Below are 26,521 nucleotides of genomic sequence, written 5' to 3'. Positions count from 1 at the left end.
AAAGCTGAGATTACAGGCGTGAGCAACCACGCACAGACAATACTTTCTACATTCCACATTTTTGTATTGTTTCCATGTTCTTACTATTGTAATTTTTTAAAATTGTCTTTAAAGTGTATTTGGTTTTTAAAAATTTTATTTCAGTAGTTTTTGGGGAACAGGTGGTTTTTGGTTATATAAGTAAGTTCTTTAGTGGTGATTTCTGAGATTTTGGTGCACCCATCACTGGAGCAGTGTACACTGTACCCAATATTTAGTCTTTTATCCCTCATCCCCTTCCCACCCTCCCCCTTATGTCCCCAAAGTCCATTATATCATTCTTATGCCTTTGCATCCTCATAGCTTAGCTCTCGCTTATAAGTGAGAATTTATGATATTTGGTTTTCCATTTCTGAGTTACTTCACATAGAACAACGGTCTCCAACGCCATCTAAATTGCTGCAAATGCCATTATTTCATTCTGTTTTATGGCTGAGTAGCATACCATGGTGTATATACAACACATTTTCTTTATCCACTTGTTGGTTGGTGGGCATTTAGGTTGGTTCCACATTTTTGCAATTGTGAATTGTGCTGCTATACACATGCACATGCACGTGTCTTTTTTATATAATAACTTATTTTCCTTTGGGTAGATACCCTAAAATGGATTTCTTTATAACCTTCATGATTTTCTCTTTAAATGATAACAAAATTTAGGATGAAAAGAAACTTGCCAGAACAATGACAACTGACTTCCCAGGAAAAGTCCACTGGGAAGTGGTGGTGAAAAGTTATATTTTATCCCCTAGAGTAGCCAAAGGTAACACAACACGTTTTAGTTCCAGATTTATATTTATATTTCCTAACTCTGTTGCTGACAAAATTACAACTTTAACATCACCAAACATTGTTCAATTTCTCTGCCAGCCAGCTAGTGCAGAACAAATGAAATTATTCCATAAAATGTAAATGGACTCAGCACATTTGTGCAACATATATAATTGTAAAATTTAATAACATTTTTTCCCTGACACTGGAAAATGAAGAGACACACTGCACAATAACTGTTTTTAAACTCACACTACCTTGTTACTCAGTGTAATATCTGTCATTAATTTTTTTCCTTGAAATGCCTATGAGGTACAGGAAATAGTTCCATAATTCACATTTTACAAATATTGATGTACTCTATATTATTGAAAGCACACCATGGGATTCCTGGCTAGCCATATGCAGAAGATTGAAACTGGACCCCTTCCTTACACAATATACAAAAATTAACTCGAGATGGATTAAAGACTTTAATGTAAAACTCAAAACTATAAAAACCCTGGAAGATAACCTAGGCAACACCATTCAGGACATAGGCATGGCCAAAGATTTCATGCTGAAGACACCAAAAGCAATTGCAAAAAAAGCAAAAATTGACAAATAGGATCTAATTAATCTAAAGAGCTTCTGCACAGCAAAAGAAACCATCATCAGAGTAAACAGACAACCTACAGAACTGGAGAACATTTTTGAAAATTCTGCACCTGACAAAGGTCTAATATTCAACGTCTATAAGGAATTTAAACAAATTTACAAGAAAAAGACAACCCCATAAAAAAGTGGGCAAAGGACACGAACAGATACTTTTCAAAAGAACACATACATGCAGCCAACAATCATGAAAAAAAGCTCAACATCACTGATCATTAGAGAAATGCAAATTAAAACACAACGAGAGGCCGGCCGCAGTGGCTCACGCCTGTAATCCCAGCACTTTAGGAGGCTGAGGCGGGCGGATCACAAGGTCAGGAGATCAAGACCATCCTGGCTAACATGGTGAAACCCCGTCTCTACTAAAAATACAAAAAATTAGCCAGGCGTGGTGACGGGCACCTGTAGTCCCAGCTACTTGGGAGGCCGAGGCAGGAGAATGGGTGAACCTGGGAGGCGGAGCTTGCAGTGAGCCGCCATTGCACCACTGCACTCCAGCCTGGGCGACAGAGCGACACTCCGTCTCAAAAAAAAAAAAAAAAAAGTCAAATAATAACAGATGCTAGCAAGGTTGTGGAGGAAAAGGAAGACTTTTACACTGCTGGTGGGAGTGTAAATTAGTTCAGCCATTGTGGAAGACAGTGTGGTGATTCCTCAAAGACCTAAAGACAGAAATACCATTTGACTCAGCAATCCCATTACTGGGTATATACCCAAAGGAATAGAAATCATTTTATTATAAAGACACATGCTCGCATATGCTCATTGCAGCACAATTCACAATAGCAAAGACATGGAATCAACCTAAATGCCCATCAGTGATAAACTAGATTAAGAAAATGTAGTACACATTCACCATGGAATACTATGCAGCTATAAAAAAATGAGATCATGTCCCTTGCAGGCTTATGGATGCAGCTGGAGGCCATTATCCTTAGCAAAGTAACACAGGAACAGAAAACCAAATACTCTGGTCTCTTATTGGTTTTAGTCAATCCTTCATATCTTTCAAAGTCTGGCTCAAATGCCATGTATATACTGTTAGTATTGCCTAACCTAACTTGAACATCTAAGAGCATCCAACAGCTTTCCAATTATTTTGTATTTGTACAGGTATAGGTACTTTAGCTCCTCCAACTGGTGGAAATAAGGACTGTATCTTACACACTATTGTGTTCCCCCACATCTGGTTCAATGCTTTATACCATAGAAGCTCAATACTTTGACACTATGCAAAAATCAAGTACTTTCAGATAGCTTGGGAAAAAATGTTTTGACAGTTCCTAATTCTTTCTTGCATACAGATCTTCCTTTCACAATTTCAGATAGAGAATAAAAGTCTGGTTTTCTACTGGCAAATGGAACTATTCTTGGTCTTTAATTTTCTTTCATGCCATTATTTCAGAAAAGTAAACAGCTCAAACCCAATCATAATTCACACGCCAAAATGGCAAATTATGTGTTTCACACTTAAAGCTGTATGAGGCTTTATTTAATGCTTTCCTCTCCATAATCATTTGATCTTCTCCATTCTTGCCTTTATTTCTGCATTTGGCAATGGGGTTGACTGATTCTTCTAGGGACCCTTTGAGGAATCACGTGCAATGTACATCAGAGCTGTACACCTGAATTAAAGGTTGCCTTGCAGGATGTTAATTACACCTGGACTTTCAGCTCTATGTTTAGCCAGACATATCCTAAATGGCTGAAGAGAAATCTTAGGGAAGAAAGTGCAAAAAAGTTCACAGGTTCCCTCCAGTTAGACCTGAAAAGATGATGACTTCGGCAACAGCTAGAGTAAAAATATGAGCTAAAAACTTACAAGGCAGGGCATAAAAGGTGCTGAATGTGCCTTTTTACAGAATTTACATATATTTATATTACCCATTCTAGCGTTAGTCTGGAAGACATTAAAGGGTTACAGTAAACTCCATAAAAAGAACTCAGTGGGTAAGAAGGATAAATGAAAAGAAGCAGAATGATTAAGAACCTAAATTCTGGAAATGTAGGTAGAATGCTGATGCTGGTCATTAGGCTAAAATACTATTTACTATTATATGGTATATTCTTTAAGAACTAATACATATTAAAGAATTCAGGTGGGGTGGTGCAAAAGTATATTTCAAGAGCTGCTAAATGTTTCACAATTCATCTTAAAAAGAAAACTCGGCCCAGCGTGGTGGCTCACGCCTGTAATCCCAGCACTTTGGGAGGCTGAGGCGGGCGGATCATGAGGTCAGGAGATGGAGACCATCCTGGCTAACACGGTGAAACCCCGTCTCTATTAAAAATACAAAAAAAAAATTATCCGGACGTGGTGGCGGGCACCTGTAGTCCCAGCTACTCGGGAGGCTGAGGCAGGAGAATGGCGTGAACCCAGGAGGCGGAGCTTGCAGTGAGCCGAAATTGCACCACTGCACTCCAACCTGGGCGACAGAGCGAGACTGTCTCAAAAAAAAAAAAAAAAGAAAACTTGTTAGCCAGCCAATTCTAATTTATTGACTGTCTGCTGAGTAATACATATTAGGCTTGAACTGTTGGGAAAACAAGCCTTTACCATAAAGGAAACTGCAATTTTAATATGCAAACAAAACACACATGAAATACTAGAAAAACACATTTTACAAAGTAATGCAAAAATACGCATGAATCCCGAGATAAATTAATATATTTATTTAATGCATGAGTTATGTTAGGTGCTAAACAGCCTTTAGGGAGAGAAATTAAGATAGGAGGGAACACAGAAAAATAATCAGGAAATAATTCTGGTAGAATTTAAAGACCAATTTTAAAAAATAATTTAAAAAAGAAGGCTGGGCACCGTAGCTCACACCTGTAATCACAGCACTTTGGGAGGCCGAGGCAGGCAGTAATCACGAGGTCAAGAGATCGAGACTATCCTGGCCAACATGGTGAAACCCTGTCTCTACTAAAAATACAAAAATTAGCTGGGCATGGTGGTGCATGCCTGTAGTCCCAGCTACTCGGGAGGCTAAAGCAGGAGAATCGCTTGAACCCGGAAGGCAGAGGTTGCAGTGAGCAGAGATCGCACCATTGCACTCCAGCCTGATGACAGAGTGATACTCTGTCAAAAAAAGAAGAAAGAGAGAAAGAAAGAGAGAGGGAGGGAGGGAAAGGAAAGGAAAGGAAAGGAAAGGAAAGGAAGGAAGGAAGGAAGGAAGGAAGGAAGGAAGGAAAGAAGGAAGGAAGGAAGGAAGGAAGGAAGAAAGAAAGGGAAAACAAAAACCTAGGAAATATTCTTCTAGCATTGGCCTAGACAAAGAATTGATTAAGAAGACCCTAAGGGCAAAAGCAACAATATAGACAAATGGGACTTAATTAAACTACAGAGTTTCCACACAGCAAAAGAAACTATCAACAGAATAAGCAATTAAAAATTGTGTTATAAAAGAGTACTAAATTATGTAGGAAAATATTCATAATAAAAAGCAGATTAAGTCCGGACACAGTGGCTCACTCCCGTAATCCTAGGATTTTGGGAGGCTGAGGTGGGCGGATCATTTGAGCTGAGGAGATCAAGACCAGCCTGGGCAACATGGCAAGACCCTGTCTCTACTAAAAATACAAAAAAACAGCCAGGCGTGATGGCACGCACCTGTGGTCCCAGCTACTCAGGAGGCTGAGGTGGGTGGACTGCTTGAGCCCCGGGAGGTGGAGGTTGCAGTGAGCTGAGATGCCGCCATTGCACTCCAGCCTGAGTGACAGGGTGAGACATTTTCAAAAACAAGGAGATTACAAAGTAGTTTGTATACCTCATGTGTGAGGAAAAAAAAAAGGGTGAATTAAATTAATGTATATCATTAGTTATGTCAGAGTAATATAAATTGGGGTGATTTTTATTTTTTCTCTCTAAAGTTTTCCAAATTCTATAAAATAAAACAATATTTCTATGTGCCAGCACTGTGCTGAATGCTTTAAATGTGTTAGCGTATGTAATCCTTACAACAACCCTAACAGATTTTTACAGATGAAGAAACAGACTCAGAGAGGTTAAGAAACTTATCCTCGGTTATACAGTGAGTATGGGAGCAGGAAACACAAATTGCTTTTAAATTAGAAAAAAAAATTAATTTTTTACAAAGATGGCAATGCGTACTGTGGTCACTTCTTTACAAGGTAAAGCAGCCCCAGGCTGGCATAAAACCCAGAATAGAACAAAAGAACACATGAGCAAAGCTTCCCAACAGATGGGAAAGAAAAACATGCCTTCAATGCTGCGTAATTGGAAGCTAAAGCTGAGGGCAAAGCTGTTAAAAGCAATGGGAAAACTGAATAAAGTTACACAACATATTAAATTTACTCTTGAAAATTTAACAGTAAGCCTGAAAACTATTCATCTCTCCATATTTTAGGGAATATCCACCACCATCACGATGACCCCTCCAAAATCTCTGTGAGGAAAAGGTATTAAACTTATTTGCAAGTTTCCAGGGAGCCAAAAAAGCTTCTCTTCAAGAAGAGATAATAAGTGATGTAATTAAATTCTAATAGAACCGCCATTAGAAAAAGATCACAAGTAAACTAGACCTATGTTTCAAATCACTTTTAGTATATTTCTCTGGGAAAAAAAGTGTCAAGGTCAATTTCCTTTACTCATTTTGTTACGTTACTCATTTTGACCTTTAGTGGACTTAAAATAAAAACAGGCTTCTGATGTCCTTAACTATGAAAATATGCCTCATCACATAATAATTTTTACTTAATAATTCATATGTCATGGTTGTGTGAGTTTTTCATTTTTGTTCCTTCACTTTTTAACAAATAATCTATTTTATTACCAATTCTAAGACTTAGTGAATAGTAAGCAATTTTATGAAGTTTTAGGTAATGATAATCAAAAAGAAAGTGCCTCTATACTCAATAAATTCTTATTTAGAAGATATTTTTTAAACCAAGAAATGGATTTATCATTAACTTTGTAATGAAGTATGTTGTAAATGTTGGTCCTGATATAGAGACCCAATTTCCAAGTAACTGAAAAACCAAGAGTTGAGATTTTAAGATTTCAAAACCTCAGACATGCATCTTAAGAAGAAAAGGGATTTTTGCCTTATGGATGGTCTACAGAGTGCTTTGCCAAGATAAAAAGTTTAAGAATTTTAATACCCCTCAAATTTCACAATTTTATAAATTACCTTTCCCCCTCCATTTTATTTAATACACATGAACACACACAATTATAATCTGAAAAGAGAGAGAAACCCTCAAGCTCCATTAAACTGAATGGGACAAATAATTGATGGTACTGCCTTTCAATTTATGTTTACACCACATATATGCCTAAAAAACACACAGGGCTTCTGCTTCAGTTATGTGTGTTGACTGTGAATGGACACAGCCTTCTAAAGCTGGAAAAAAAGGGACAAAAGCAAAAGGGCTGATCTTTGCACTCATGTCAACAGTAAATTTAACACTGATAAATTTTAAAACACTGATAAATCATTAAATAAGATGCTAGATCTGGCTTTAAGGACATCTGATCAGTGGCCCTCTCCTGTGAGGAGACTTTGGCACTGAGGAAGACATACAAGGGAAGTAAGATGAGAATCAATTCTGCAAATACTGAGTAGAAAAAGGGCTGAATTTAGGGAAATGGTCACCGAGGGATGATCACAAGGTATTCACAAGATACAGGAGAGATTATCATGGGAATCCTTCGAAATTCACACCAGAGCAAGAAAGAAGAGAGAAGGGAGTAATATTTTATTGCAGGCAAGGTTTCCCTGCCCTTGAAAAGAAGGGGATGTGTGTTTGCTGATCTGGCAGCAGCCAGCACACAGACCACACGTTAATTTACTTAGTTTCACCTTGGAATCCATCTTTCTTACGGTAACATATCATTAACTTTTGACAGCTGCTCTTTGGCTCCAGGCACTTTAAAATAAAGTCAGAGTGAGTGCCCTTGCCCACCAGGAAGAGAACATAAGGCAAGGGAGTTATTCTTCTCTCATGCCTGCCAAGAGTGTCATTTCTTGCCATTTTTAGTCTTTGGCACTTCTAACCTGGAGAGGTTATTCAAATAAGAAAAGTGTCTTTGAGATGACCGTCTTGCACTCCTGAATTCATAATTCTGCCTCAAGAAGGCAAATGTGATTCCTTCAAGAGAGATGGCATCAGGAAAAAGTCCCAGGCTTAAACCAGAAGCATAAAAATGAAATCTTACACCTATTACAGAGATTTAAGATTGCTCTGGAGAGCCAAAGCTGCAGACGTGCAAATGCTAGTCATGTGGTAAAGCGACTACCACAGAGGGCATAACACTCAGTGTGTGAAAGACTTGAAATCATCTAAACGGCTGAATATGAAGACTAAAGTTCCCATTTAAGCATTAAAGTGATGGACTACTAAGTTACAGATTATCCCAGACAATTCCTTTGGAATTCCTAATGTGACGAACCTCAAATAACTTTATCAGTCATCTAATTCATATTCAATCTGACACTATATTCATGTGGTAGCACCAAGCATGCCAGAGTGTGAAAATATCACTCAAATCCCACTTTCTGTATGATGGCTTCCCTAATTGCAGATGGATGTTTTTGTACATAAAAAATAACTTACCTCTCTTTTCTAGATCTTACCCTGTAATTGCAATAAAATATAATTTTGCCAAATTATCAAACATTGTTCAGCTATGTGGCCCATTTTCCTTATCTTATTATTTCGATCAAAACCTACCCTCAAACTCTAAAGGATTAAAAAATGTATCTGCTTTACAGTCTAACAAAAAGTTGACCTTACTTCCCTACTGCCACAGTGATGATGAATTCTTTGCCCCTCAATATTACACATATTCCAGGGATAGGTTAAGGGATTCAGGGGGAATAGTTTGTACTAGTTTCATGATGTTTTTGTTTTAAAGCACAAATACACATCTATGTTCCCCTGAGGGATGGCAACATAAAAACAGCCTAATGTCGGACTTTCTCATCAATCTGTTGAGAAAACAAGCGGCACTCAGCCAAAGCAATCTGGCTAAATTTTGTTATGAGTGAGTTCCTGTCTTTTCTGCAGTTACAGAAAGAAGATGTTTCACATTCTATGCACTTGAGATCCATAGAAGAAAAATGAAAAGTAATATTTGTTTACAGAGAGAACTATGTTTCATAAATCAGAGAAAATTATGGTTAATTACTGATAAAATTCCCTTCCCTTTCTGAATCTTGGGCTATAGAGCTTGGAGAAATATTAACTTCCATTAGTGCTATCCAAATGTATTCCAGAAAGTTCCCTGTGGAATGCTAACTGAAAATGCCCTTGGGAATTCAGGAAGCCAGTGGAACTGGTAGAAGTGAACTCTAAAACACTCATGAGTTATTAATCAAAAAGAACTCTGAAGCTATGACAGTAGAGCAGCTGCTTAGAAGGTAGCCAAAACATGGTCAGATAAAACTGTTCTTTGGCCGGCAACCACTATTTATATAGGAGTAGCACCAGAGATCTCCTACTGGGCCTTATTTGGCTTCTGCCCTGCAGCTACCTACAAGGCTCTTTAGAGTGGACCTCCAGGAGGCAGGTGTGGCCAGGGTGGCAGGGAAGCTCCAGACGAATGCCAGTTGGGCTTCTGTCTCCCATCTGACATGACTTTAAGAAGTGCCTTCAAAACCTGTATTAGATTAAGGCTCCTTGTATGTGTAGTTGGGGTATGGAGAAGGCCTGGTCTTTCTGTCCTGAGAGCTGGTAACTGCCTTATTTAGCGTGATGTGAGTAACCCCAAAAGGATCCCCATCCCCAAATCGTTTTCCCTTTTTTGACGCCTGAAATTCTATCATTATAGCTTCAATCTTCGGTTAATGCCAGCTCTTCACCTACCAAAAGGTAAATATTTTAAGGAGGGGTAGTATGCTAAGTAAATATTCAGTCTTAGTGTGAGCAAGTTGATCAGATTTTTACCTACAAGGAGGTGGATTGACAAGCAATAAGGCACCCAAGGAGACTCCTGGGAATGGAGTGTAAAGTATGAAAGTGAAGATAAAGAAAGACAAATGTTCTCTACTCTGAAATTTAACTTTGTGTGGAGGAAAACACAAAGATCTGTGCTCCTTGAAGGTCTAAATTACTCTTCTCTCTCTGGCTCCCACTTCGAGACCTGCCATCAAAGCTTATTTGAGGCTAACCTAACGAAGCAAACTTAATTTGTTGTATCTCACATATGGGTAAATAAAGAACAAATTCAGTAGCATCTACTGCATACATATAGTTTTAAAACTTCTGTACAAATAGGAATCATCACCTTGGTTGCAAAAGTAGTCTCTCAGAATTAAAGCAATTGCTTTCCCACTTGTCACCACAATGTACTATGTTCAGATCTCCGTTACAGCTCTCAACCACTTCAAAGTGTCTCTATCTAGTCACCTATTTGCCTTCCCACTAGTTTATGAGCAACTAGCAGGTAGGACAGAAGCTTTTTCATCTATGTGGGTCTCCCTGACACTTAGTCCAATGTAGGCACGATGGCAGAAAAGGATGGGGAATGGGTGCTTTAAAACCAGGCTTAATGTCCTATGAGTGAGAACTCTACATGACCACAAAGAAAGATAAAAGGGACCGTGCCCACAATGTTTCTTCCTATCACTCTGACATTTGCCTCTCTTCTGCCATAAATCATATAAATGTCAGACTATTTTATACTTGCCGAGCATCACACCTTATTTTATACCACAGGAACCCACTTGCAAGGACTGCTGGTTTGGACAGAGCCACAGCCTGTTGTATCTCATGATAAAAATGTATTTTCAAATATTTTTGTATTATTTTCAACCCGACTAAAAAATCTCTGAGAGCAACAAATCCTTTTCCCAGAAATACACACACAGTATCTAATGTCTTATTTTAGGAATCCAGGTATAAAGCTCATAAACAGGGTCATGGTGAAGCCTTATTAGCTCCATACAGGGGAAGGGCACTAGGACAGGGCTTCGGTTTTTTCTACAAAATTCGGTCACTGGGCTTCATCAGTGTTTCTTCATGGCTGGTATTCCAACCAACTGCTTCTAAGTCACCTAGGGTGGAAAGAGGGGATTGCCTTCTTTAAAAACGCAGATTCATGGGGCCTGCTCCATATTTAGTAAATCAACTTTTTTTAGGGTAGGACTCTAGAATCTACTTTTTAAATGTTTGCCGTATTTTAACAGGCTCACTAACAGGTGAAAAACACCAGATTCTACCCCCTAGAGATTCTGATTTTCTAAGGTCTAGACATGTGTATTTTTACAAAGCTTTGTAACAAATTCTGATGTACATCTAGGGTTGTACAAGACCCTCCACAAGAAGAGTCCCCCAAGACAGAGTTTGGCAAGTAAACATTTTTAATTCCTGGGAAAACCTTGACTATATGCAATGACGTTCCTACATGGCCTTTCAACCCTCAGTGCCACAGCTTTTTTAAATCATACAAAATTGCTAGTCTGCTCAGCCTCAAGAAGGCTGAGCCCTTTCCTGAAGCAAACTAACTGACCTTGTGTACTTCTAATGCAAGGGAGCACCTGGAATCCTTTCCCAACAGCTTGTGGGCAATCAGGCAAATCTCAGCAAGCTGCGTAAAACAGGCCACAAAATGACCTGTGGCAAAGCACTGTGAAAACACAATGATTTCCTCTTGACCATCCCAGGCATGGTAAGAACACTGACCTGACCCCTCCTGCCGAGGACTGCAAGTGGGACTTTGAATCCTGGAAAGCTGCAGCAAAATATAGCAGAAGGGAAAGGAACTCAGCATCACCGGCAGTGTTGCATAACTATGCAAACAAGGTTTGAAAGGGTATCTTATTTTAGCAAGAGGAAAATGAGATACCTAATTGTGTGGAAAAGCTATAGTTTCAGCAGTGACTGCACCTGCTTGTGTAAATAGAAAATGACATATTTTAAAATTTGGATGGGCATACAGTTCATGAACCTTACAGAGAAAAATATATCTTTTTCCCAAGTCTGACTTCAACTCCATAAGAAAATAGCTGGACGGGCAGTCACAGTCATAAGCTAGAAGTATATCCTTTTAATTAATATTTATTGGATGTCGACTATGTGCTGGACACTGTGCTAGGTGCTAGAGATAAATGGTTATTTATATTAACATTACTGCTTCTATAAAGTAATAGATTAGTCCAATGTGATGTAAGGAGTTCAGTGGTGCGATTAGAATTTTGGGTGGTTAGGTGTTGAGCTTGAACGCTTTCTTAATTGATGGCTGCTTTTGGGCCAATTATGGAAATAATATTTTTTACTCTCTACATAAAGGTTGTTTCCTAGTGTCTAAAGAGCTGTCCGTCTTTAGACTAACAGTTAAATTTACAGGGGAATTAAGTGGTTCTGTAGGTAAATTTAAAGTTGAACTAAGATTCTATCTTGGACAACCAGCTATCACCAGGCTTGGAGGGCTTGTCACCACTACCCATGAATCTTCCCACTATTTTGCTACATAGACGGGTGTGCTCTTTTAGCTGTTCTTGGGGAGTGGGCAGAAGTAGACATGTCCCTGCTCTCATGGTGCTTATGGTCTAGTGGGGAGATAGAAATGAACAAGATTCTTTGATGAGATAAAACAAAGAACCTAAATAGCCTGGTTGGGGGTGAAGGAGGAATGGGGAGAAGAGGGTTTCCTGAGAGAGTGATGTAAAGCCAAGATCTAAAAAATGATGAGGAGGTTCACAGACAAAGGGATAAGGAGCAAGAAGAAGCTAACACAGACAGGAAAAACAGTATATTTTATTGATATGAATTTTCAAAAATGTGGATAAATTAGAGCCATGGGTGAATAGAAGTTGTATTTTACAGGAGAAAAGGCTTCAAAATTGCTCTGAGGTGCTAGATACCGGCCATTGGGACTGCTGAGGAACATTAAGGAAGGGAGAAATATCACTACATTTGCCCAGCTAAAACCAATACTAACTTTCTATTTGTTGTGGGGAAAAATTAGTTTCCGAATTTCTTTTCATTAAAATGGGTTTATGATGAAGAGTCTGAGTTAAGAACAAGGTTAGGCCTAATGAGCTCCTGACTTGCCAGTTAACACTTTGTGTATTTTTCACTCTTTCTCTTTCTTACTCATGCTGCTGCTTTAGTGTTGGCAACTCTCCTTTCACATTTCTCTCAAGTGTAGAATGTACACCATTTTGATTCTTTGCTATAGCATGTAGAATTGTAAAATATCTGGGTGTCTTATACCAGTCATTTTTTAAGTCAGAAAAGATATTATTTTATGAAGGGAACTGTGGGCTAAAATAGCATCAATTGATAAGCATCAACTAACTTCAAATCATTCATCTCAATTTGTAAAATTCTTGCCCCAAAACTCAGTGGAATAAAATTAAAATGAACTTTTAAGAATTGCATGGAAATTGCCCAGTATGACAAGAAAGTGGCACTTTCAAAGGCAAAGGAAAGAAGCCCAATGGTCTCCCCACTCCAAATCCCACCTTGTTATTTTCCTGTGTGGATACGTGGTCCTATTCCACACAGAAAGTTGCCCACAAACAGAGGAGTAGGAAAAAAAAATACTCAAATGTATAGAGTGGCCTAGTATTTCCCACAGGGAGGACTCAGTTCCACAAGATGAAATCTGGGTAATCAAGAGAGAGTTTTTACATCTTCAGGGGTTTTTCCACCTATCTGCAAGGAGGGCTGGAGAAATCAGAAGTAATGTGATTTACCCTTCTATGTGGGTTGGCGGAGCTCTCTGAAGGCATACATTTAACAGCTACCATGTATGCAGTATTTACTATGTACCAGGTACTGTGCTTGGTATTTTATATTAATTACTTCATTTAATTCTCACCAACCCTGCAAGGTAGGTATGATTATCAATGTTTTGTAGATGTGTCCTTGCAAACCCCCAGTAAGCCTTTGCTCTTTGGTAAAGTCTATGGTTTCATAAATATTTTATGTAGGCAAGTTTTAGGAACTCTGGGCTAAGAAAAGTAAGATGGTAAAATTGAGATGAAGCTAGGGATAAAGTTAGATGCAAAATATGTGCTTTACTATTCCTTTTACAGTTGACCCTTAAACAACATGGGGTTACATACATACAGTTGACCCTTAACTCCAACACAGTCAAAAACCCACAAATAACTTTTGATTCCCCCAAAATGTAACTACTAATAACCTATTGTTGAATGACAGCCTTACCAATAACATAAATAGTTGATTAATACATATTTTGTATGGTATATGTATTATCTATTGTATTCTTACAACAAAGTAAGCCAGAGAGAAGAAAATGTTATTAAGAAAATCATAAGGAAAACATATTTACTATTTATTAAGTGTAAGTGGATCATCATAAAGGTCTCATCCTCGTTATCTTCATGTTGAGTAGGCTGAGGAGGAGGAGAAAAAGGAGGAGTTGGTCTTGCTGTCTTAGGATTGACAGAGGCAGAAGAAAATCTGTGTGTACGTGGACCTGTGCAGTTCAAACCCAGGTTGTTCAAGGGTCAACTATATTTGTTACAGATGATTAAAAAGTAACTCTGAGTTTCTTGGCACCCAATGCAAAGAAATAAAGGCAACCATCTGCACAAGTCACAGTGTCCTCAAAATAAATTATAGGACAGATCAAAACAATGCCTATGGCAGCCATTAACTAATGAATTATTTACCACTGAACCTAGATTGACCCTGAGATTCCTTCTCAATACAGTATTCCAAGGCAGCCACCAATCAATCAAAGTTAGCACATGAGATGAGACCTCTTTATGAGCCTTGGTCTAAATTCAGGATGGCAAACTGAAGCCCAAACATCCGTCTTTATAAAGTTTTGCTGGAACATAGCTGTGCCCATTTGTTTATATATTGCCTATGGCTGCTTTTGCACTATAATGGTAGAGTTGAGCAGCTGAGACAGGGACTGGATGGTATGCAAAGCCTAAGATAGTTACCACATGGCTCTTTACAGAAAATGTGTGCCAAACACTGTTACAGATGGATGGCCAAACTAAAACAAAATCAGTGGAGATAGATAGATAGATAGATAGATAGATAGATAGATAGATAACATATATGTTATATATAACATGTTATATATAGTTATATATAACATGTTATATATAGTTATATATAATATATATGTTATATATAGTTATATATAATATATATGTTATATATAGTTATATATATGTTATATATAGTTATATATAATATATGTTATATAGTTATATATAGTTATATATAATATATATATCTCCACTATATATTATATATGTAACATCAGTTATATATAATATATATGTTATATATAACATTATATATAATATATGTTATATATAACATATATATGTTATATATAACATATATATGTTATATATGTTATATATAACATATATAATATAATATATAACATGTTATATATAACATATATATTATATAATATATAACATGTTATATATAACATATATATTATATATAAAATTAATTTTTTAGCTTGCATTTATTATGTGCCTTCATGTATGGGGCACTGTGTTAAATTTGAGGTGTACAAAAATAAGCTGCACATCATCGTCCTCACCTTGAAATAGCTCTGATTTAAAAATTCTAACACTCCAGATATTTTTCTTAGGCGTTTTCTTTCTTTCTGCTTGACCATATAACCTAAAAAGTTAGAGAGTCTTAGAAATTGTAGTCTTTTAGCAGTCCTCAGAGAAAATGGATGGGTAAAAATACACCCAGACATTATAAAGGGCAGCTGCTTTATTTAATGTAAGATTAAAAATAAAAATGTGATTAAGCATTATAAAAACAATGAGCAATTGGCAATACCTCATAAAAAACTAACTTAAGCAACTTTAGATTCTCAAAACTGTCATTTGTCAGGAACCACATAATAATGAGAAAATTAACAAGGCCCCAAAGAGACATGTAAAATTTGAATTAAGATTCACAGTAGGTTGGCAGGGACATACTAAATCCATAATTATGGTGATCCACAGCTGCTCCAACCTTAGAAAATAATGAACTGCTTAGTGAAGGCTGGTGTCTCTCAAACAGCAAGAAAAAAAAATCTGCTGTGGAACAGTGTCCTATCTTTATGTCCTATACCCAAATAGTCCATAAACAAGGATGATCCACGTGAAGATTTATGGTTGCAACAAGCAAGTTCCAGATGTCATAAAGCATTATGGAAAGAGATGAGAAAAATTATAAACTTTGCCATCTACAATATACCCAATTATTAATTTCCTTATATTCCCCAAGGTAGTACCTGTGATTCTTCTTCAAAACACATTGTGTTGATACAAGTGCCCTAGAATAAAGAAGTCACTAAATAAGTCAACATGACTTATGAGACACACACAACAAACCAAGCTTTCTTTTCTAACACAAATCTATGTCCACATTCAGGCAATTAAATAGTGAAGATTAATAGAACTTCAGAAGACAGGTGGCTGGCCATTTTTGCACTGAATTTCTACTATCAATTAAATGAAATGCCAATTCTGTTTGAAATCTTTCCTTCAAGAGCAGTACAAAACAAAATTTTACATATAACACATTTTAATACAATATTTTAATGGTATCCTTCCTAAGAACTAGGTAAATTCTCAGAATCCTTTCCAGTTCTTCAATTAAAAAGAAAATTAAGTTTGGATTTCTATGTGTGTATCTTGTATAATCTTTCAAATACAACTTCTGTAAATGATAGCTAAATTCCACAATACCTCATTTAATGAGTGCCATCAGGGAATGAAGAGTTCCACGTAAGTGAATGTCCCATTTAACTCAACTTTAATACTCCAACTGATGAAAAATTATTTTAACCTCTTTTGATGAAAATGCTTCAAAATGAAAAAACATACTTCTCAAAGTTTTTCAAAAAGAATGCACAGAAGAAAATCCAGCATTTTCTTGATGATTTAGGGCTACCTTGGGAACACAAAGGGAGGGTTGTGGCATGCATGTCTCCTGCATATGAGTTTGGTTTCCACAGCACATTACCCTGATCGCTGTGAGAAGCTCTTGGTTCTCCTCCATTGGCAGATAATCCTGTTTCTAAGAGGCTGCTTTATGCACAATTATCTAGCCTTAAGACTTGGAAAATGTTTAACCTTCTTACTGGAGAAAGGTACATGAGTTTTGTGATTGTTTTTTACTCCTCAGTTCCTTTTTGTTTACTTCCTGCTTCATTACAATGTTCCAGGTAGCTTAAAAAAAAAAAGTCTATCCTTCAGATAGGTAGAGTGTAAGCAGTACAGAAATGTGAATATTGAATAAATATCTACTTTTTATGAAAAATCATAAAGAATTTCCCTTTAGATTTATATACTCGAAGAAAATCCATCAAAATGGCAAGTCTAAAACTGGTAGCTTTATATCTATGATGTTTATATGCACATGGAGGGGTCCATGCACATAAGGAATTCTTATGAAAATCTAAATGAAGTTTGTATGATTTGTCTTATGAAAAGTTACATGGTTTACATTCTTACCTAACTATTCTTTGGACCAAGACTCATACTGTCTTTCATTTCTGGTTCTTTAGCACTTTTTACAATGTCAGGCATTAGGTAGATGCTCAATAAATGCTTGGAGAATGAATGAATAAAAAACTCAGTGTCATGGAAAAATTTAAAAATTCAGTATCTCAAACTTTAAATAATCAGTTTACCTTAAATCACATAAATTGCCACACTGACAAGTAAACAATATTTAATAACACGTATCTTTTTAAAAAATATTTTCAAACATTATTCATGAATGAACAACTTCCTAAAATTAAGGCTGGGTGTGATGGCTCACATCCGTAATTTCAGCACTTTGGGAGGCCAAGGTGGGAGGATTGCTTGAGTCAGGGAGTTTGAAACCAGCCTAGGCAATATAGCAAGACTCCCATCTCTACAAAATAAAAATAAGAAACCAATGTACAGGAATGAAAAAAGCAGTCGCCAAGGAGTTTTTCCTGACTACACTTCTGGAAACTACCAGGAAACAGTGACAACTTCCATATTAATGAGCAGTAATAATCTTAAACTTCTACATGTTTTGGTGAAGCATGCATCTGTAGTTAGCCTTTCCTCCACCAGATGGCACCCATGAATCAAGTGAAATGTTTAACATCTATGACACTCGAAAGGGAAAATGAATAAAGTAGTAAGCGTGGTTGTCCTCTTGTCTACTACATGAGCAACTGTCAAAATTCACAGCTATGAAAAGCAGAGGGCTGGCTGAACTGAGTTACAAAGTAAGCCTAATAATTCATTCAAGTATTCATTCTTTTAACATTTATCAAATGTTTATCGTACTCCAAGCATTTGCTAATAAACACATAGAGCTAAAAGAAACAGTACTTGACCTCAAAGAGCTTATCACTTAAGGAAGCAGATGACTTGTAAATAAATAACTACAAAATAATACAACAAATTCTCTAATTGAGAAGCCTCAGAAACACCATGTATTAGTTCATTTTCATGCTGCTGATAAAAACATACCCGAGACTGGGAAGAAAAAGAGTCTTAATTGGACTTAAGAGTTCCACATGGCTGAGGAGACCTCAGAATCATCGCGGGAGGGGAAAGGCACTTCTTACATGGCAGTGGCAAGAGAAAAAATGAGGAAGAAGCAAAAGCAGAAACCCCTGATAAACCCATCAGGTCTCGTGAGACTTATTCACTATCATGAGAATACCATGAGAAACACTGGCCCCCATGATTCAATTACCTCTGCGGGGTCCCTCTCACAACACATGGGAATTCTGGGAGATACAATTCAAGTTGAGATTTGGGTAGGGACACAGCCAAGCATGTCATTCTGCCCCTGTCCCCTCTAAATCTCATGTCCTCACATTTCAAAACCAAACATGCCTTCCCAACAGTCCTCCAAAGTCTTAACTCATTTCAGCATTAACCCAAAAGTCCACAGTCCAAAGTCTCACCTGAGACGAGGCAAGTCCCTTCTGCCTATGAGCCTGTAAAATCAAAAGCAAGCTATTTACTTCCTAGATACAATGTGGGTACAGGTATTGGGTAAATACAGTCATTCCAAATGGGAGAAATTGGCCAAAACAAAGGGGTTACAGAGTCCATGCAAGTCCCAAATTCAGCAGGGCAGTCAAATTTTAAAGCTCCAAAACGATCTTTGACTCCAGGTCTCACATCCAGGTCACGCTGATGCAAGAGGTGGGTTCCCATGGTCTTAGGCAGCTCCACCCCTGTGGTTTTAAAGGGTATAGCCTCCCTCCTGGCTGCTGTCATGAGCTGGTGTTGAGTGTCTGCAGCTTTTCCAGGCCCACAGTTCAAGCTGTGGGTGGATCTACCATTCTGGGATCTGGAGGATGGCAGCCCTCTTCTCACAGCTCCACTAGGCAGGGTCCCAGTAGGAACTCTGTGTGGGAGCTCTAATGCCACATTTCCCTTCCACACTGCCCTAGCAGAGGTTCTCCATGAGGGCCCCACGCCTGCAGCAAACTTTTGCCTGGGCATCCAGGCAGTTTCATACATCTTCTGAAATCTAGGCAGAGGTTCCCAAACCTCAATTCTTGGCTTCTGCGCACCCCTAGGCTCAATACAACATGAAAGCTGCCAAGGCTTGGGGCTTCCACCCTCCGAAGCCACAGCCCGAGCTGTACATTGGCCCCTTTCAGCCAAGGCTGGAGTGGCTGGGACACAAGGCACCAAGTCCCTAGGCTGCACACAGCACAGGGACCCTGCGCCCAGCCCACAAAACCACTTTTTCCTCCCGGGCCTCCAGGCCTGTGATGGGAGGGGCTGCCATGAGGTCTCTGACATGGTCTAGAGACATTTTCCCCATGGTCTTGGGGATGAACATTAGGCTCCTTGCTACTTATGCAAATTTCTGCAGCTGGCTTGAATTTCTCACCAGAAAATGGGTTTTTCTTTTCTATTGCATAGTCAGGCTCCAAATTTTCCAAATGCTTGTGCTCTGCTTCCCTTATAAAACTGAATGCCTTTAACAGTACCCAAGTCACCTCTTGAATGCTTTCCTGCTTAGAAATTTCTTCTGCCAGATACCCTAAATCATCTTTCTCCAGTTCAAAGTTCCACAAATCTCTAGGGCGGAGGCAAAATGCCACCAGTCTCTTTGCTAAAACATAATAAAAATCACCTTTGCTCCAGTTCCCAGCAAGTTCCTCGTCTCCATCTGAGACCACCTCATCTTGGACCTTATTGTTCATATCATTGTCAGCATTTTTGTCAAAGCCATTCAACAAGTCTCTAGGAGGTTCCAGGCTTTCCCACATTTTCCTGTCTTCTTCTGAGCCCTCCAAACTGTTCCAACCTGTGCCTGTTACTCGGTTCCAAAGTCACTTCCACATTTTCAGGTACCTTTTCAGCAACACCCCACTTTACTGATACCAATTTACTGTATTAGTCCATTTTCATGCTGCTGATAAAAACATACCTGAGACTGGGAAGAAAAAGAGGTTTAATTGGATTTCCAGTTCCACATGGCTGGGGAGGCCTCAGAATCATGGCAGGAGATGAAAGGCACTTCTTACATGCTGGTGGCAAGAGAAAAATGAGGAAAAAGTAAAAGCGGAAACCCTTAATAAACCCATCAGATCTCATGTGACTTATTCTCTATCATGAGAATAGCATGAGAAAGACAGGGCCCCATGATTCAATTACCTCTCCCTGGGACCCTTCCGCAACACGTGGGAATTCTGGGAGATACAACTCAAGTTGAGATTTGGGTGGGGACACAGCCAAACCATATCATACCATGTCCAAAGGGATATGTGAGCCAAATTTTGAGGGATGTAAGGAGTTGCGGAGCAGAATAATGGGCTGGGTAGCAATCCAGGTGGAGAGTACATTCTATATAAAGACATAAAGGCATGAAAAACATGGATATTTGGGGTTTAGAATTGGGCTACAGAGCTGCAGAGTTATAGAGCTGGAGGGAAGAGTATGTACGTGTGTTTGGAGGGGAAGGGAAAGGAAATGGCGGAAGATCAGAACTAACAGCAGGCTGGAACTCTATAAGGATACTTAAGAATTTTAATTCTATGATAAATAGCAATAGCTAATATTTATTGAAAACTCTCTATATGTTGAACACTACGCTAAGTGCATAAATGCATTATCTTATTTATTCCTCATTATGACTCTCAAACATATGTGCTATTTCTATACCTATTTTTCAGAGCCCTGTCATTGCTCTGTCCTTGGGTTCTTGCCTTGGAGCTGCTCTAATAACAGTTGCGCCCCACAACTCACCTGTTTCAAAAGTCTTTAGAAGTGGGTAAGGCATGCTGTTTTTGCACAGTTCATTCTGTTCCATAGTAAAATGCAGGGCAATAAAGTTCTGTTATTCCAACTTCTGGAAGGAGTCCTGAACAAGACTAGGAAATCTGGGTTCCCAGTCACACAGCAATCAGCCAGTTCTGTGACTGTGTGCTCTTGTACACATTACTTAACCTCACTGGCTGTCAGTCCCCTTACCTGTAAAACAGGGGAGTGGGCTAAAGGGATTGGATTAGAAGATCTTCAAAATCACTTTATGTCTTAAATTTTATTCCATAAATTTTAGTTATTTATTTCCCTCTACCAAACTACCCTACTTCGGAGGTGTTAATGAGTAATTTAAGGCAGGCTACAAAGAATCTGCAAAGCCTATATAATCTGGAAATCCTGAGAATTAACCATAATATTGATAGACTAATAGCAGAGTAAAGATAATAGTTCACAGGCTCCTAATATGACAATCTATTTTGCAGCTATCATATTAAGTGGTAATCTCGCAAGGTTAAACTCCATAAACCTAAAGGATAGAAGCATATTGATTATCCAGAAGGTTACAAATATGCTCATATTTTCATGTATCATTGAAACGGAAGTTTCTCCAACACCTCTACCTTAGCTTTGGTGACTTAGCAGCCATCAGTTGGTAGTAGGACGCCATTATTGAATTAACAGAACCAGCTAAGAAATCAGATGGCTTCAAATTCCTGCTGTCACATTAGGGACAATGAACAAATCTATTTATTAAATAATAGCAATTCTCTTGCTGAGCCTTAACTAAGGCAGCAAAAATGAGACCAAATGTGACTGATTTTCAACATTATAAGAGTGTGGTGATAATAAGAAGTAATGATATAAGGATGAAGCAGGAAAAATACTTGTATGGACTTCCTATCAAGAATTTAAAATCACTTAACATTTCAGGACAAGCACTCTTGAGGTCAGTCTTTTAAAATAAATTTAAGTATCAACAAACTTAAACCACACTCTCTTAATTTTATGTAGATCATACCTGCAAAAAGTAATGTTGAACAATAATAAAAATATTAAAACACATACACTTAGAAAGTATCCTGAACTTGAGACACAACAGTTCCTACCATTTAGTGACTCTTCATGTAAATTCATTGTGCTTTGAGGGCATAAAACATTTGGGACCTTGACTATATGGACTTCAAAAAATAGTACAAAGCATTGAAATGCTTTAAGCAGACAATAGCCATTTTATTCCAATTGGGTCAAAGATTTCTCTTACATGTTTTGTTTGTTTGTTTTTTGTTTTTTGTTTTTTTTTGAGACGGAGACTTGCTCTGTCACCCAGGCTGGAGTGCAGTGGCGCGATCTCGGCTCACTGCAAGCTCAGCCTCCTGGGTTCATGCCATTCTCCTGCCTTAGCCTCCCAAGTAGCTGGGACTACAGGCGCCCACCACCACGTCTGGCTAATTTTTTGTATTTTTAGTAGAGACGGGGTTTCACCCTGTTAGCCAGGATGGTCTTGATCTCCTGACCTTGTGATCCACCCACCTCAGCCTCCCAAAGTGCTGGGATTACAGGCGTGAGCCACCACGCCTGGCCTCTTACATGGTTTTGTATTCTTTCATCATTAAATAAAATGGATGATAAATGAGAAAAGTTATAATTCTGAGATGACTATTAAATGAATTTAAATTATTTAACCAGCTCCTGGGAAACGTATTTTATTAGAATATATTCATAGAGTTTACTTTTCTTTTAATTGTGTAAGACTATGTAAATATAAATACTGAGAGATTTCATTATTTCAAACAAAAGCATACCAGCTTCTACTAGAGGTAAAAAACAAATGAACTGAAATATTTTAGTGAATATAATAAAAATGTTCACAAGTGCTGACGGTTATTGAGCATTTACTATAGGCCAGGCACTAAGCTAAGAACCACAGATGTATTCTCTCAATTAAACTAAAATTAAGAGGGGAAAGAAACCCGCTCAGCCTGAACAAAATTCACACTAGATTGGTTTTTTCAAGTGAAATTCATTCTACTTTTAGAATTATTATATCAAACACTGTATAACTATCAATACATATGAGGCTCCACCTGTGTGACATGATAAACCATAAGAAAGTAATTTAAAAGGTCAGGATCAATAAGATAATTATAATGACGACAAATGGATTAAACTCTCCTAAAAAGGAAATATAATATCAGGTAGGATTTATTAAGTCCATTTGGGAAACAAAATCTCACAACTGTTTTAAATACTTCATATTTAAGGTTGTTTTCCATTATAATGTTTCTGCCATTAACTAACTGGCATAATTACACAAGCAAAACAGTACATTAAGAAACAATTTTGTTGATTCTGAAACCATATTTCAAAATACACCCTTGGGAATACTAAACATCCGAGAAACTTTATGCACTTACAGCTGTTTTAGAGAAGCTGTTGCATACATTCTTCACAACATTAGATTGCTACCTAGGGTTGAATGAATCTCAGACCATTAAAATAATGTCAAGAAATTTGATTAAAAAGTCTCCTGGCCAGGCACAGTGGCTCATGCCTGTAATCCCAGCACTTTGGGAGGCCGAGGTGGGTGGATCACGAGGTTAGGAGTTTGAGACCAGCCTGGCTAACATAGTGAAACCCCATCTCCACTAAAAATACAAAAAATATTAGCCGGGCGTGGTGGTGGGCACCTGTAATCCCAGCTACTCAGGAGGCTGAGGCAGGAGAATCGCTTGAACCTGGAAGGCGGAGGTTGCAGTGAGTCGAGATTGTGCCACTGCACTCCAGCCTGGGGAAAAAAAAAATTCTCTCCAAGTTCCCCCACATAACCCTTATAATTGTTAACAGAAGAGGTGGGAGAGACCCAAACAGATAAAACATCTAGAACAACGACCCACTTCAAAGCTCTTCCACACCCTTGACCCAGGTAAGTCTTAGTTTATTGCCGAATCTCCAGATGTGTTTCTTCTGCAGGGCCTGCCCACAATCAGATGCAGGCCTGAGAGACCAATGGTGGCTGAGGACACAGCAGCTGGGATTGCCAGCTTTACTGGATTGTTCAGATGTTTTTCTGATTTTTCTACAAGACTACAAAACATGAACCATTCAAAAAGGAAAATGCATTCTTTAAAGCAGATTTAGTACAACGGCTTAATGACATTTTCCAGCAGTGAAGCAGCTAGTAATTAAATATCAACGAGTTAATGACCTAGCTGACTCAATGAACTTTGATTTGGTACAATTAGGACTCCATCACTGAAGCTTCTCCTTTCAGGTAGCACAGCTTCGCCTCAGGACAAGTCTGCTGGGAAAAACAAACAGGGGAGCCGCAGCCTCCACCATTTATGCAACACTAGTGCAGTATTGCTTAAGCATATGCTATCTCACTTTTTCCAAGGTCTCTGCTGCACTGCAGTATTTCTGGCCCAGCAAACTCTATCTGATGGATCACTACTTTTTTAACTATGCTAAACCAAACAAGAAGGGGGCATTTATATACACATACAGATGTACGCACCCAGTCACTCTCCTAGCCTCCTTACCTCCAGAAAGGTTACCCTGACTGTTGTAAATTATACCATTCTTTAAAGAAGATTAAGTTAGGGTGGAGATAAGAGCAACAGATCAGAATCGAAACTACATCTTCAGGGTGACAGAATTAAACAATTGCCAATATAAAGTTAACAGGAGTTATTATTTATAATCAAAAGAAGTTGAGCAGTCCCTGACGACTACATATTTGGTTCTACAAGCTCTCTGGATGGTCCCAAGCAGCTCAGCCACTGCTGAGTAACACACAGGTCTTCACTCATGCCAGGGTTATATGATTTGTGACTTACCTTCAGGGTTTGGGGCTTAAAGGCTTTTGTTTTCATGTAACTATGTTTTGTCCATATCTAGATACATTTATATTGTAGAGAAAACATCATACAGCCATTAAAACATGATTTAATGATGTGATCTTTTTTTTTTGAGACAGAGTGTCACTCTGTTGTTGCCCAGGCTGGAGTGTGATGGCACAATCTCAGCTCACTGCAACCCCCCTGGACTCAAGTGGTCCTCCTGCCTCAGCCTCCCAAGCAGCTGGGACTACAGGCATGCACCACCATATCCAGCAAATTTTTGTACTTTTTGTGGAGACAGGGTTTCACCACATTGCCCAGGCGTGTCTCAAACTCCTAGGCTCAAGTGATCCACCCACTTCGGCCTCCCAAAGTGCTGGGATTACAGGTGTGAGCCACTGCACCCGGCCAATGATGTAAAATATTTATAGTATATTGGTAACTGGAAAAAAAAAGTTCACCAAGCTGTCCTACAGCCTGAATCCATATATGCATAAAATAATGATGTATATCATTACAGAACCTCTAGCAATAGTTGTTCTTTTGGAGTGAAGGAATTACATGAGACATTTTTTTCCTTCTCTAAGTTTTCTGTATTTTTAAGGATTTCTACAATGAACATATATTACTTTCATTATAACATAATGTTGGATGGGAATAATGGAAAGAAGGGAAGAGAAAAAAACAACAGATCACACCACCTCTTTCTCTCAGAAGACTGAGCAAGCAAACACTGAATGTGTAATCTTCTCTTAAATTTATCACTTAAATGTTAACCTTCCCTCATTTCCACTTATTTGACTTTGGTCACAGCAGGAGGCCTACCAAAAAAGTATTTGGGGTGGGGAGCACAGAAAATCAAAAGCTAAAAATAAGTGTTTTACACTAATATCAGCACAGGAGGGGGATGCCATGAGGCATTCTTTTTGAACACAGCTTAATGGTTGCCACTTTTTAAAAAATTGATCATCCAGATTTCTTATTTTCATATCTTCAACTTGTCAACTTACATCTAAAATGAATAATGTGCTAAAGTTAAAAACATTTGCTCTTGTTACCCTCTAGCTTTAAAAGAAACAAGGGGACAAATTCCCTGTAGAAATAGGATTAATGACATATGGTAATTACACTATTAGGTTGAAATATCCATAACAGCATAAACCTCCATTAAACACATTTCTCAGGAGGCACTTTTATTAAAGATAAATTCAGTCATTTTAAATTCACAAATACAAAGCTATGTATCAAAATCTTTTTTTATGTAATCAGATTGAGTCATTCATTCCATCATTCCTGGCTCAGAAACATTTCAAATAAAGACAGGAAGAAAGGTTATACCCCAGGCAAGAGACAATATATTTGCAGATGCAATATTTGAAGCTGTGAATTAAAAAAAAAAAAGTCAAGGCAACAAAAAGAATGTATGCTTTCTATTTGCATGCTGCAAATTCTTGGTCAGCTGTGGCTTATTACCCACCAACTTCCCTAGCTCCCATGTCTCCCATTCCTCCAAATAATGAGGAGGCAAGGAAGAGAGGGAGGTGGGGGATGCTCAAACAGGGATAATGAAAAATGATAATGAACAACAAGAAATGCAACAAACAAGAAGAGCTCTTGTCCTTCCATTTTATACCACTTATCATCAGGTGTCTGAAGATACCTTTATGCTTACCCTATTTTTGTTTCAATTTCATTTTTAATTGCCTTGTTTTCTATTGGGCTTAATTTTGTGAACAGTTCAAAAACTTTTCTAGAAATAGGTAGATATAAGTCCTACGTAAATAACAAAAAAAAAATTCACTCAAAATATAGCATTTCAAATTATAATAAAATAAAAACAACAAATTGCTTTCTGTGCCATTTCTATCAACAAACAGCTAATACTCAGTTCTCTAAAAAAAATGGCATATAATACAAGGCAATTTTATCTAAGAAATTATGATTTTATCAGAAAACAAGTACAGATGTGCCTCACTTTCTCAACTACAGCAAAATGTAAATAGAAACTGAATTTGT

The 26,521-nt window shown here is 38.0% G+C and overlaps 1 protein-coding gene across 5 annotated transcripts in view, besides 1 other annotated feature; it reads right to left on the bottom strand.

Moving 5' to 3' along the window:
* The window catches only part of PPM1L (protein phosphatase, Mg2+/Mn2+ dependent 1L), a 322,672-nt gene that overhangs the window by 119,317 nt on the left and 176,834 nt on the right, over nucleotides 1-26,521 (bottom strand). Inside the window, exon 2 of one of the 5 annotated variants that reach the window (NM_001317912.2) lies at nucleotides 19,831-19,930. The exons of the other annotated variants lie outside the window; for them this stretch is intronic. The gene's annotated coding sequence lies outside the window, so the exon portion shown is untranslated. The remainder of the gene's footprint in view (nucleotides 1-19,830; nucleotides 19,931-26,521) is intronic. 5 annotated transcript variants of the gene reach the window in all.
* Nucleotides 11,779-11,979: a silencer, noted in NCBI's record as "peak4889 fragment used in MPRA reporter construct". NCBI's record gives its function as "represses an SCP1 promoter by STARR-seq MPRAs in K562 erythroleukemia cells {active_cell/tissue: K562}" and the evidence as "EXISTENCE:reporter gene assay evidence [ECO:0000049][PMID:32103011]".

The sequence above is a fragment of the Homo sapiens genome, chromosome 3, assembly GCF_000001405.40.
Source record: "Homo sapiens chromosome 3, GRCh38.p14 Primary Assembly".
Taxonomy (NCBI): Eukaryota; Metazoa; Chordata; class Mammalia; order Primates; family Hominidae; genus Homo; species Homo sapiens.
This window is presented reverse-complemented; position numbering and strand designations above follow the sequence as displayed.